The sequence below is a fragment of the Homo sapiens genome, chromosome 18, assembly GCF_000001405.40.
Source record: "Homo sapiens chromosome 18, GRCh38.p14 Primary Assembly".
Lineage (NCBI taxonomy): Eukaryota > Metazoa > Chordata > Mammalia > Primates > Hominidae > Homo > Homo sapiens.
In genome coordinates, this window is record NC_000018.10 from 12,629,347 (window position 1) to 12,642,713 (window position 13,367).

At 40.0% G+C, this 13,367-nt stretch overlaps 1 protein-coding gene across 14 annotated transcripts in view; it reads right to left on the reverse strand.

Moving 5' to 3' along the window:
• The window catches only part of SPIRE1 (spire type actin nucleation factor 1), a 215,580-nt gene that overhangs the window by 182,835 nt on the left and 19,378 nt on the right, over positions 1–13,367 (reverse strand). For 10 of the 14 annotated variants that reach the window (NM_001394323.1, NM_020148.3, XM_005258122.5 and 7 more), the window contains exon 2: positions 5,716–5,750. In NM_001394323.1, the coding sequence (NP_001381252.1) occupies positions 5,716–5,750 (35 nt within the window). Of the gene's footprint in view, positions 1–5,715; positions 5,751–6,292; positions 6,355–6,656; positions 6,678–6,894; positions 7,007–13,367 lie in introns of those variants that run through there. The other 4 variants (XM_047437674.1, NR_197429.1, XM_047437672.1 and 1 more) reach the window with 4 other exon arrangements.

The following is a 13,367-nucleotide window of genomic DNA, read 5'->3' on the forward strand; positions in this document are numbered from 1 at the left end:
TAAGATTATAATCCACAAAACTATTTAAACAATGGCAGTAGGAAAAATTTGTAAAATTGGAATAAAAGCTACCCTTAAATCTGGGTCTGAACTGCTTCCTTGACAGGCAAGCGCCTACGAGTACAGGTTAGTCATTCAAGAGTTTATAAATTAGTAGTCTGAGCTGTGAGCCACTACTAGGAAGGGAGAAATATGGGTCACACGCTGTTTAAATTACATGTCCTTTTCAAAACTGTAAGAACAACATACAGATCAGTGGCTAAGAGGGGCTGGGAGGAGGGGCAGGGCTAACTACAAAGTGGCATGGGGGACGTTAAAGGGGTGACAAAACTTGATTGTAGGGATAGTTAACAACAAAATATCCTTGTCAAAACTCAAAGAATTAAATAAAAAGGTAAATTTTACTGTATGTAAATTATACTTTCAAAAAGCAGAAAAAGTTATAGGGAAAAATTAAATTGCCTATTAAAGTAAAAAAATTTGCATGTCATTTAAAACAAATCATATGAAAGATTTCCATTAAGGAGTTCAAATGCTGGAAAATACTTAGTATAATCAAGTATATTAAAACATTTTCCAAACAGTAAGAAATAAGGTAAAATACTTGATTTTAAGAAACATTAGCTTGAGGTAAAAGATCACATAAAAGTTAATCAAATACCTATATGTGATTTCACTGCTTTCTCAGAACTCATAATTTTTAATTTTTAAGAATATGGTAAAAGTGCTAAAAAAGTTATAATTAAAACTACAAAATAATTCATAACATGATTTTTATGTACTACAAAAACTATTAAAATTAAAAAGTTGAACAATTGATGTTCTCTATTTCAATTCTATGACTTGATGAGGGTCCTAAAACCCCAGAGAGATAAAGAGATTTTGTTCTCCCTGGGAGTCTGTAAGCCTTGCTTAAGAAGGACTTCCTTCTTGCTCCCAGGAAACCTTACACTTCCCAACCAGGAATGACACATAATATGCTGCACGTATAAAGCTAGGCTTGATGCTGAATAAAATGTAAATAATTTTTATGGCAGGCACAGTGGCTCGTGCCTGTAATCCCAGCACTTTGGAGGCTGAGGCAGGCAGATGACCTGAGGTTCCGAGTTCGAGACCAGCCTCGCCAACACGGCAAAACTCCATCTCTACTAAAAATACAAAAATTAGCTGGGCGTGGTGGCACATGCCTGTAATCTCAGCTACTCAGGAGGCTGAGGCAGGAGAATCGCTTGAACCTGGGAGGCAGAGGTTGCAGTGAGCTGAGATCATGCCACTGCACTCCAGCCTGGGCAAGAGCAAGACTCTGTCTCAAAAAATAATAATAATTTTTGCAGCTATCCACCCTCAATGGAGAATCTGAGGCAGAGAAGCGAGAAGGAAAGGGAGGCCCCATGAGCTGAGCCTGGGCACAAGGGCCACCTAACAAGGCCTCTCTGAATTCAGAAAGGCTGAACAGGCTGCCCCAGAATGGCAGCCAGCCTCTTCCTTCAGGCAGCTTATACTAGCAAGAGTTGGGTGAGGGGTTTACAGAGGGAATGGCAGAAATAGAAAAACAATTTGTTTTGCTCAACAGAAAAATAATTTAAGAGCCAAGAGAGGCTCTAGTAGTCAGTCCCCTTTGTGACCCCGTATAACCTCAGTCTCAGAAATGAGCCTGCCTTCTTGCTGACAAAAAGAGCCTTAAACCCATATGGCAAGGATGCCTGGGCTTCCTGCTGCCTACCCCACAACTCTAGTTTCCTCCTACCTCCCTATTCTGTTTCTTAGGAAGAAGTACCTCTGCCATCTGTGCTCTCATACCACAGCTCTCAAACCTTTAAATTTTGGTTTTAGACTCTCTTTACACACTAAAAAATTAGAGCCCAAAGAGCTTTTTTTTAATGTGGGCTATAATCTATCAATATTTACTGTATTAGAAATTAAAACCAAGGAATGTTTAAAATATGTATTAATTCATTTAAGCCCATTAAATGTTAATAACATTTTATGGAGGAAAAAAAAACTACATTAAAAAAATGAGAACAGTGGAATTGTTTTACATTTTACAAAACCTTTTAATGTCAGGCTCAATGAAAGCCACAGAGGCTGGGCAAGGTGCCTCACATTTATAATCCCAACACTTTGGGAGGCCGAGGCATGAGGACTGCTTGAGCTCAGGAGTTGGAGACCAGCCTGGGCAACATAGCAAAACCCCATCTCTACAAAAAAAAAAAAAAAAAAAAAAAAAAACATAAAAATAAAAAAACAGGCCAGGCACAGTGGCTTACGCCTGTAATCCCAACACTTTGGGAGGGTGAGGCGGGAGGATCACGAGGTCAGGAGTTCACAACCAGCCTGGCAAAACCCTGTCTCTACTAAAAATACAAAAATTAGCCGGGCATCATGGCGCACGCCTGTAGTCCCAGCTACTTGGGAGGCTGAGGTAGTAGAATCGCTTGAACCCAGGAGGCAGAGGTTGTAGTGAGCCAAGATCGCACCTCTGCACTCCAGTCTGGGTGACAGAGTGAGACTCTGTCTCAAAAAATACACATAAAATAAAAAATAAAAAACTGTCCAGGTGTGGTGACATGCACCTGTAGTCCCAGCTACTCAGAGGGCTGAGGTGGGAGGATGACTTGAACCTAGGAAGTTGAGGCTACAGTGAGCCGTTATCATGGCACTGCACTCCAGCCTGGGTGACAGAGCAAGACTCTGTCTCCAAAAAAAAAAAAGGCTGGATCTCATCTGCTTCTGCAGTCATTCTGACAGTCTTCCTCATGCCTCCAAAAACTCCATGGTACGCTCTTAAGAGAATGAAAGTATAAAGGCAAATGATATCCTAGTAGTACTATGAAAATAGTTTTGACCTTGCAGATCCCCTGAGAGGGTCTCAGAGACCACAGAGCCCTGGACCAGTCTTGGTTCTGAGCAGCACTACTCCAGACAACCATCGTCTCCCATGTGTTCCTGGGTCTGCTTCATTAGATAACCACTCTTGAACCTGGCTCACGCACTCCAGGCTCCCTCACACCACCACCACCAAATGGCCCATCGTCTCTAACCTAAAACGCAACAGAAAACTTCCTCCTTATGCTGTTTTTTAATTCCTTCTGTCATTTCACCAAACTTCTAAGAAAAAGTAGTTCCCTCTGGCTCTACCGCCTCACCACTCCTGCTTTTTGCTATCTTAATTACCAAAGTAATACACAGATACTTTTTTTTAAATCAAACAATATGGATAAATGACCATCCACAATCCCAATCTCCTCCCCACTGATAACCACTGTTAGCCCTAGAAAATACCTATTTTTCTGAATTAAATCAATATCAGATTGAAATTTTTGTTTCCTTGTGTTTTGCCCCCTCCAAATTTTTACTTTTTTTTTAATTCTGAAAAACTTCTATTTAGTTAGATTCCAATTCTTTTGGTGACCTATGTTATGGATCAAATTATAAGGGCTGTCAATTAGGAGATAAAATGAACTAATGCTTCTTTACAAAGTGAGTACTAAACTAATGTTAAGATCATGTGGATTTTATGACAATATAATAAAACGATAATTAGATAACTGTGCCTTGTATGTAAAATCTTCATATTTCATTACCTAAATGCAGATGAATGCTGACTATATTTGTATCATCTTAATTCACAATAGTGCATTTAAGGTTTATGAAACATTTTAATATATAGTATCTCTTTAAAAATTTCATAAGCTATGAGGTTAATACAAATTACCATTAACATTTTATAGATAAGAAAGACAAAGTTCTGGAAGAAAAATTACTTACTCAAAATTGCATAGCTAGAAAAATACACACCCAGAAACCACAAAACTTACCTCTTCTGACTCAAATCAAATCCCACCCCTTTGTGTCATGTTGAATAGTATATCAAAAATTCTAACAATATAAAAATATTAAGTTCTTGCCTTTTTAGATCTAACTTGGAAAAAATTGTCCCTCCTTTCAAAGTTGAATAGAAAATGCAAAAATGGGCCGGGCACAGTGGCTCACGCCTGTAATGGTGGATCACCTGAGACCGGGAGTTTGAGACCAGCCTGGCCAACATGGTAAAACCCCGTCTTCACTAAAAATACAAAAACTAGCCAGCATGGTGGCATGTGCCTGTAGTCCCAGCGACTCGGGAAGCTGAGGCAGGAGAATCACTTGAACCTGGGAGGTGGAGGTTGCAGTGAGCCAAGATTGTGCCACTGCACTCCAGCCTGGGAGACACAGCAAGGCTCTGTCTCAAAAGAAAAAAAAAAAAGAAAGAAAATACAAAAATTAATGCCAAAAGGGATAAATTATTTTTGTTTCTCTATTATACAATATAATCCCTTGGGAAGCCTACATTTCATTTAAAACAACAGTTAAAACTTACTAAAACCTACAACAATATGTAGATGCATTATAAAATTTGAAATACAACTTCTTAAATCCTTTATTTGGGCATTGCCACTAACAAAACACCCAACACCCCCAATCTAAGGATGATGAAACTGCTACTGAAAAGAACACCACACATATATGCTGACCTGGTATTTCAGTATTATGCTTGAAATCCCTGCAATGAACACATAGAAACCCCTTAAATTTCACAATCAGAAATTTGAAATTAAATTATTAAAAAATAATAAACCAGGCCAGGCACAGTGGCTCATGCCTGTAATCCCAGCACTTTGGGAGGCCGAGGCGGGCGGATCACGAGGTCAGGAGATCGAGACCATCCTGGCTAACACGGTGAAACCCTGTCTCTACTAAAAATACAAAAAATTAGCTGGGCGCGGTGGCGGGCGCCTGTAGTCCCAGCTACCTGGGAGGCTGGGGCAGGAGAATGGCGTGAACCCGGGAGGCGGAGCTTGCAGTGAGCTGAGATCGTGCCACTGCCCTCCAGCCTGGGCGACAGAGCGAGACTCCGTCTAAAAATAAAAATAAAAAAAAAAAAAAATAATAATAATAATAAACCTACTTGTATAAATAACAAAGCACCAAATTTATTATTAATCTTACTAAAACATTGTTTCTAAGTCCCTATTTTTTCTTAAATTAAGGCAGCTCCAATGGAGTCTAACACATTTAAATGCTGTATTTATTATATGACATACTGCACTGAATTATGAAAAAAAAACTGAAATTACTAAGAGCTCTGGATCTTAGCTAACTCAATTCTGCAAATAATAATACGGTTAAATTTTAAAATGATAATTAAGCTATTCTTTATAACACAACCTGACGTTACAAAAATATGGACAAGGCAAGTAATTTTTCTTCACATTTTACTCTTCCTAAACCTAGAAAACACACCTGCTCTCAAAACATCTTATCAGGGCCAGGTGCGGTGACTCATGCCTATAATCCCAGCACTTTGAAAGGCCAAGGCGGGTGGATCACCTGAGGTAAGGAGTTCAAGACCAGCCTGGCCAACATGGTGAAACCCCGTCTCTACTAAAAATACAAAAATTAGCTGAGCGTGGTGGTGGGTGCCTATAATCCCAGCCAGTCAGAAGGCTGAGGCGGGAGAATCGCTTGAACTCAAGAGGCAGAGGTTGCAGTGAGCCAAGATCGTGCCATTGTACTCCAGCCTGGGCGACAAGAGCAAAAGTCCATCTCAAAAAAAAAAAAAAAGAAATCTTATCAGAAGACCAAGAACCTATAGTGAGATAGTTCAGTACTCAAGTTAGTCTAAACAGGACTGCAAAGCTGCTTTACTAAGAAATATTTGAGTATTTCACTTACCTCTGTTTCCATACATTGTGAATATCCCAATTTACCTGTAATAAAAATGAAAAGGATTACTTTAAAAAGATTTCAGCTTTTTTAAATCATTGATAAAAATATTTGAGCTTCTCTGGCTATGGCTTTATTATGTCTATGAGAATATCTATGCAAATGAAAGATGCTAGAATGACCAAATATCCCTGAAGGTCCTACTTAGAGATTTAAGTTTAAATAGGCCCATTAAAAAATAACAAAGAAAAAAGGTGAGAAAAAAATGCTTAACTGTAATAAGATCTAAAACATATGTACATATTTAATACAGATATATAAATCAATCAAACAAAAACATTTGAAAGTCTTGCTTTCTTTTAAGAAACACCTTAAAATACTTTAAAGGTATTTTATTTTAAGTATACCTTAGGAAATCTTAAAAGACTGCAAATATATTTCCAGTTTAAAGATACAGTGATCATTTCAATGAAAGGAATAATGTTTAAATTCATACTTTCTTTAATATATGCTGACTGTTTTTCTTTAATATATGATTAGGCAAAACCATATAATTAATTGAGTAATTTTTCCAACAGAGGCTCACTTAAAGAATAATTAGAACTGAACAATATTTGGCTGCACCAACATTAGTATTTTTCTCCATCACTGATACATAATACCAAAGAACATGAACAATTAATACATTTCTGTCAATGTCGCTGACAAAAACATACTTCTTAAACAAAAACAGCTATTTTAAAGAATCACTTATTAAATAGTTTTAACAAAAAGAACGAATAACACAATTATACAATTAATTATACTGCGTACTAGAAAATTGGGTTTTTTTGGTTTTTTTTGTTTTTTTTTTTGAGAAGCAGTCTCACTCTGTCACCCAAGCTGGAGTGCAGTGGTGTGATTTTGGCTCACTGCAACCACCCACTCCCGGGTCCAAGTAATTCTCCCACCTTGGCCTCCTGAGTGAGTAGCTGGGACTACAGGCACCCACCACCATGCCCAGCTAATTTTTGTATTTTTAGTAGAGATGGGGTTTTGCCATGTTGGCCAGGCTGGTCTCGAACTCCTGACCTCAAGTGATCTGCCTGCCTCGGCCTCCCAAAGTGCTGGGATTACAGGCGTGAGCCACCATGCCCAGTCAGTACTAGAAAATTTAATTTCCCCAGACTACACTTAGATTTCACTGACCTAAATTCAAATATGCATTTAGCTCTATACCTTTCCCTTCACCCAATACTATCCTCCCACTTCTTCCTCTCCCCAGGATTTACCCTCACACCTAGCCCACAGTGGTTATTCTAACAGCCTTGTTATTTTTTTAGTACTTAACTAGAATTTCTATGCCTCAGACTGTATTATGACATCACAAAAGAAAAATCACAAATAATAGCTTTTGTATGCTCCCAATTCTTAAAATAAAAAATAAAATTGAAACCACAATTTCTTATTTGAAATGAGTTGGTTGAAAAAAAAACAAAAATGAAAAAATAAAAGAAGACAACCACAACTCCTCATCTCTTAATGATCCTAATGAGAAACACTGGCTGAAACTGAGACCAGAAAATAAGGGGCCTTAGGTTCTATGAATTAAATTAAAAATTATATATGAGCAATAAAGACTACATGAACATATATATAAAATGAGCTTACTAGCTAAGGGTTTATATAATAGGGTTTGATAAGTATAAGACTGTTATTTTACTTATATATTTATTTATTGTTACATAAAACTCTACATTCAACAGTGATTTATAACATACATTTTATTTATTTATACATATGATTGTTTGTTCAGACCATTAATGCTTTTGGTAGTTAAGAATACTTAACTCCCATAAAATTGGTAATTAATTTTACTCGGCAAAGTACTACTGGACAGAAACAGCTCAAGGAAGGGTACAGACTGCCTTTCGGCAAACAGTTACTGAGAGCCTACTCTGCATGGGGGGAAGAGAGAGAGGGAGGAAGAGAGGAGCACTCAGGCAAACTGTAACAGAGAGTAGCCTCTTTAAGAGTATATGAGTTGGCCAAGTGCAGTGGCTCACGCCTGTAATCCCAGCACTTTGGGAGACCGAGGCAGACAGATCATGAGGTCAGGAGATTGAGACTATCCTGGCTAACATGGTGAAACCTCATCTCTATTAAAAATACAAAACATTAGCCGGGTGTGGTGGCAAGTGCCTGTAGTCCCAGCTACTCGGGAGGCTGAGGCAGGAGAATGGCGTGAACCCGGGAGGCAGAGCTTGCAGTGAGCCGAGATTGCGCCGGTGCACTCCAGCCTGGGTGACAGAGTGAGACTCTGTCTCAAAAAAAAAAAAAAAAAAGAGTATGTGAGTTTACATCTTCAGTAGGATATATTCTGAAGATAAAGAGAATTACAAAGAAATCTATAAGTTTTTGTAGTACGTTTCTTGTTGGTAGTATAAAATTCTGAAACTATTTTAATGTATTGCAGCAATGAGCACATGAGTAAATACACTGATATTGCTGGGAGTCATGACTTACACTATGGGAGAAGGAATACACAAACCTAACGTGAGAAGAAAAGGAGCCCTGTGGTGGCAAACTGTAACTAGAGATATTACACAACTTCAAAACATTTCCTAGCTCTGCTCATCAAAAGTGGGAGAAGCCCATGGGGCACGCCAAGCCCATTCCCCTTCAACAGAATCAGGATTCCTTGGGAAATTGGCTGATTTCAGGGCTGGGACAGGGAAATTACAAGGTAAGTCAGGAACATCTTTTTGTACCAGAAAACAATGAAGTGCTTAAAAACAATGATAGAGGAGTGCCAAAAGGGCATAAGAGTCTATAAAATAAGATTTTTTTCAATGACCTGCATTATAAAACTGAAAATGCTGTAAAAGTACTAAAAATTTTTGTGAGAATTCAACAGCTCTTGGTCATTCAATTTGAATTGGTGAGTAACTCACGGTAATATGAAAAGGCTGTAAGTACAAAGTATTTGACCAACTACACAGGTCTGCCATCCAAATTCCTGCTCAAAAGCTAATCTAGGAATCCAAAAATCCCAATCACATGACATCAGAGCTTAAAGGGATCTTGGAAATGATCTTGCTCAATCCATTCATTTTATACATGAGTAATTTGGCTGGGTGTGGTGTCTTGCGCCTGTAATCCCAGCACTTTGGGAGGCTGAGGTGGGAGGATTGTTTGAGCTCAGGAGTTTGAAACCAGCCTAGGTAACATAGCGAGACCCAGTTTCTATCAAAAATAAAAAATTAGCCACGCATGTTGGCACAAGCCTGTAGTCCCAGCTACTCAGGAAGCTGAGGAAGGAGGATCACTTGAGCCCAGGAGGTCCAGTCTGCAGTGAGCTGTGATAGTGCCACAGCACTCCAGAACAGGTGACAGAACAAGGCCTTGCCTCAGAAACCATTAATTAATTAATTAAAAACAGATGAGTAATCTGAGAGCTCAAGGAGTCAAATGAGTTGCACATAATGACACAGAGTTGGTGACAGAGTGAAGAGCACACTCTAAGGCTCCTGATTCCTCCTCATGTATGTTGGTGTGGTTTTCTTATTCTAATCCTCTTGATATGGTTTGGTTCTATGCCCCCACCCAAATCTCCTGTTCAATTATAATTCTCAATGTTAGAGGTGGGGCCTGGTGGGAAGTGATTAGATCATGAGGATGGTTTCTAATGGTGTAGCACCATCCATCCCCCTAGTGCTGTCCTGTGATAGCGAGTTATCATGAGATCTGGTTGTTTCAGTCTGTAGCACCTCCTCCTTCCCTCTTTCTTCCTCCTGCTCCAGCCATCCAGGACGTGCTGGCTTCCCCTTCACCTTTTGCGATGACTGTAAGTTTTCTGAGGCCTCCCCAGCCATGCTTCCTGTACAGCCTGCAGAACAGTGATCCAATTAAACCTCTTTTCTTTATAAATTACCCAGTCTCAGGTAGTTCTTTATAGCAATGCAAGAATGGACTAATATATCTCCATTCCCACTTTCAGTGGCTGTTGGGATTGAGGGGAACTGCAGGGGTACTGTCCAGGCTAACTACCATTTCTACTGTTTCTGAGGAATGGGGAAATGCATTCCTCAAAAAAAATTTTTTTTTTGAGACGGAGTCTCGCTCTGTCGCCCAGGCTGGAGTGCAGTGGCATGATCTTGGCTCACTGCAAGTTCTGCCTCCTGGGTTCAGGCATTGCACTCCACCCTGGGCGAGACAGCGCCACTCCATCTCAAAAAAAAAAATTCTGGGTGAAGTCACAGGATTTGTAAGTTTTAGAGGGATTCATTCCTTAGGTCTGGTGCAGTAAAACAGAAGTGGCCAACCTTTGAAGAAAGACTCAGAACTTGTCAAGTGTAAATCCCTTGATGCTATACTGGTAGTTTCCAATTGAAGAAGCTGTTGTTGAATTGAGGAATGCGGCCAGGCGCAGTGGCTCATACCTGCCATCCGAGCACTTTGGGAGGCCAAGGCAGGTGGATCACGAGGTCAGGAGTTCAAGGCCAGCCTAGCCAAGATGGTGTAACCCCATCTCTACTAAAAATACAAAAATTAGCTGTGCATGGTGGCAGATGCCTATAATCCCAGCTACACGGGAGACTGAGGCAGAGAATTGCTTGAACCCAGGAGGCGGAGGTTGCAGTGAGCAGAGATCACGCCACTGCACTTCCAGCCTGGGCGCAAGAATGAGACTCCATCTCAAAATAAATAAATAAATAAATAAAAATAAAAAAAAGAAAGGCTGAGGTGGGAGAATGGCTTAAGCCCAGGAGGCAGGCAATGAGCTGAGATGGTACCACTGCACTCCAGCCTGGGCAACAGAGCCAGACATTGTCTTTAAAAAAAAAAAAAAAATTTATTAGACGAGTCCCCTTATGTCCCAGGAAACAGAAAAGCCTATGCCTTCCTATAAACTGACACAGAATGGCTTTACGAAACAAACTAGTCCTGATATAAAATGTCTGTCATAAAGAATTCATAACTAAGGCAACACTGTCATCTTCAGCAGACATTATAAATCTTAAATATTGATAATCAGATCATTTCACCATGGGTCTGCTCAGAGAATGCAAATAATACTTTCAAATTAAGGTAGCTACTTATCTTTAAAGTAGAAACCTCAGCATATGGCTGACTTATCATGCAGTCACATTATCAATATGATTCAAACTAGCTGAATAAGCAAAAGGCAAACTATACCTACCAAAAAAACAGAATTTCTGGAACTTTTAAGATAAATGGTTCTCAGAATTATTCTCCAGCTTTTTACTATGTGACCAAATTCTAGACAATGTTTCAGTCCCTCTAACCATGTGAAATTATGTTCTTTTTCATGCTAAAACTGAGATACCAATGAATACACCCTGCTCTCCTGCCAGCATACCTCTGCCACCTTCATTTGTTCAGTAAATATTTATTCACCACCTACTAAGTACTACTCATAAGCACTGATGACACACTGTCGTAGTAAACAAGCTAGACACAGTTCTTGCCTCATAAGGCTTACATTTTATTGAACACAGCCCCAAAAAAGTAATCAAACAAAACAGAACTCGTGATAAATGGATCCAAAAGGGAGAGAAAGTAACAGAAATGACCCCATCTGGGGTGGTCAGGTAAGATTCCTCCAAAAGATGATATTTAAACAGAGACCTTGAAGCTGGGTAGAACCAACTGCAGGGCGGGAAGAAGAATCTGTTCCGGAAGCAGGAGGTGGCGTGTGACAGGCCTGGGAAGTGTTTGGTGGATGAGTAACATAAACTGTGTTTAGACAGGCAGGGGGCAGATCACACAGGCTTGTAAGGATAGTATGATGAGTTCAGATTTGACTTTAAGGAAAATGGGAAGCTATTGAAGGATACCAGGCAAGAGGGTCAGCTGCGTCCAGGTAGTTTCCAGGTCAGTCTTGCTATAATGTGAAGAACGTAGTGGAGACAGCCAGATGGAAAGCTCAAGGCCAGCGAGGAGGCTACTATCATTGTACTGCAGCACTACACGCGGGCGGCCAGGCAGGGAGATGGCAGTAATGAGGGTGAAAAGGAGAGGGTTCATGAAATAATTTGGAAGTAGAACAGGATTTGTTAATGGATTGACAAACAACATCCTGAACATGCTCCATGTTTTCAAGAATAATATTCTCAAACATTTGACCAAAACTGATCAACAACAACCATTAGTTTAAGAACTATAATACTTTTATAAGAAAGGAGTTTATTAAATATGCTTCTGGGACAATTTTTGTATTATTACTAGGAAAAAAAACCCATAGTTTTGTAGTTAACAGGCTGAAATTTAGCAATAAAAAAATTTCTACAGCCTAATCATACCCGAATTTCTTTTTTTCTTTTTTTTTTTTTGAGATGGAGTCTCGCTCTGTCGCCAGTCTAGAGTGCAGTGGCACGATCTTGGCTTACTACAACCTCCGTCTCCAGGGTTCAAGCGATTCTCCTGCCTCAGCCTCCCAAGTAGCTGGGACTACAGGCACACACTACCATGCCCAGCTAATGTTTGTATTTTTAGTAGAGACGGGGTTTCACCATGTTGGCCAGGATGGTCTTGATCTCTTGACCTCATGATCCGCCCACCTCAGCCTCCCAAAGTGCTGGGATTACAGGCGTGAGCCACCACACCCAGCCTCATACATGAATTTCTAAAGTGCAGTGGCCACTGAGGACTTGGAATCAATGAACAGAACTTCAAAAGTTAGGACAGTGAAACTACGTATTTATTAGCTTAAACCAATTTCCCCCAACAAAATCATCTTTGCCAAGTTGCATTTTAAGGGAAAAAAGAATGTTATGCTTTTTTTTTTTTTTTTTTGAGATGGAGTCTTGCTCTGTCGCCCAGGCTGGAGTGCAGTGCATGATCTTGGCTCACTACAGCCTCCGCCTCCCAGGTTCAAGCAATTCTCCTGCCTCAGCCTCCTGAGTAGCTGGGACTACAGGCACGCACCACCACGCCCAGCTAATTTTTGTATTTTCAGTAGAAATGGGATTTCACCATGTTAGCCAGGATGGTCTCAATCTCCTGACCTTGTGATCCGCCCGCCTCAGCGTGAATGTTATGGATTTGATACAAAAAACAGTCAGGGACATGACCTCTAATTTTAAATATCTCTCATGGAAAAAGCATTCATCTGTTCATTCACCAACAATACGTTTGTGTGACAGGCACTCTCCAGAACTTGCATCTTCTTCCTTGAGATTATCTGACCCCCACCCACAGACTCTGCCCCAAGCCAGGCTCTAGGACTTTCAGCCTTCAATCACCTTTGCCATAAATGTGACTTCTATCCTAATTCAGAAATGGAAGCTCCCACTTTATTTTTGACATAGACTACACTTTGCTTCCTAGATTTGTAACTAAATCCCTTACCTTTCAAAAAAAATGACAGCCTTGGATTGTTATTACCAGTCACCTTCCCAGGGACTAGAGTCTCCCCTTGGACCTAGTATCAGTGATTAAAACCCGCCACAAAATTTGGATATTATCTTTTATCTATTTTATGTAATCTGGCAACACTGGAAGCTTGCAGAGCAAATAAGTTTCATCTCTAGTGCCAATTCTGAGTAACAGTGGCTGTCTAGAATGTCATCTTCAGAAGTATTCTGATGGCAAGTACAGGATAGGAGGTGCCCAGGACTATTTAGAAATGGTCTCACTCATAAGTGGGAGTTGAACAA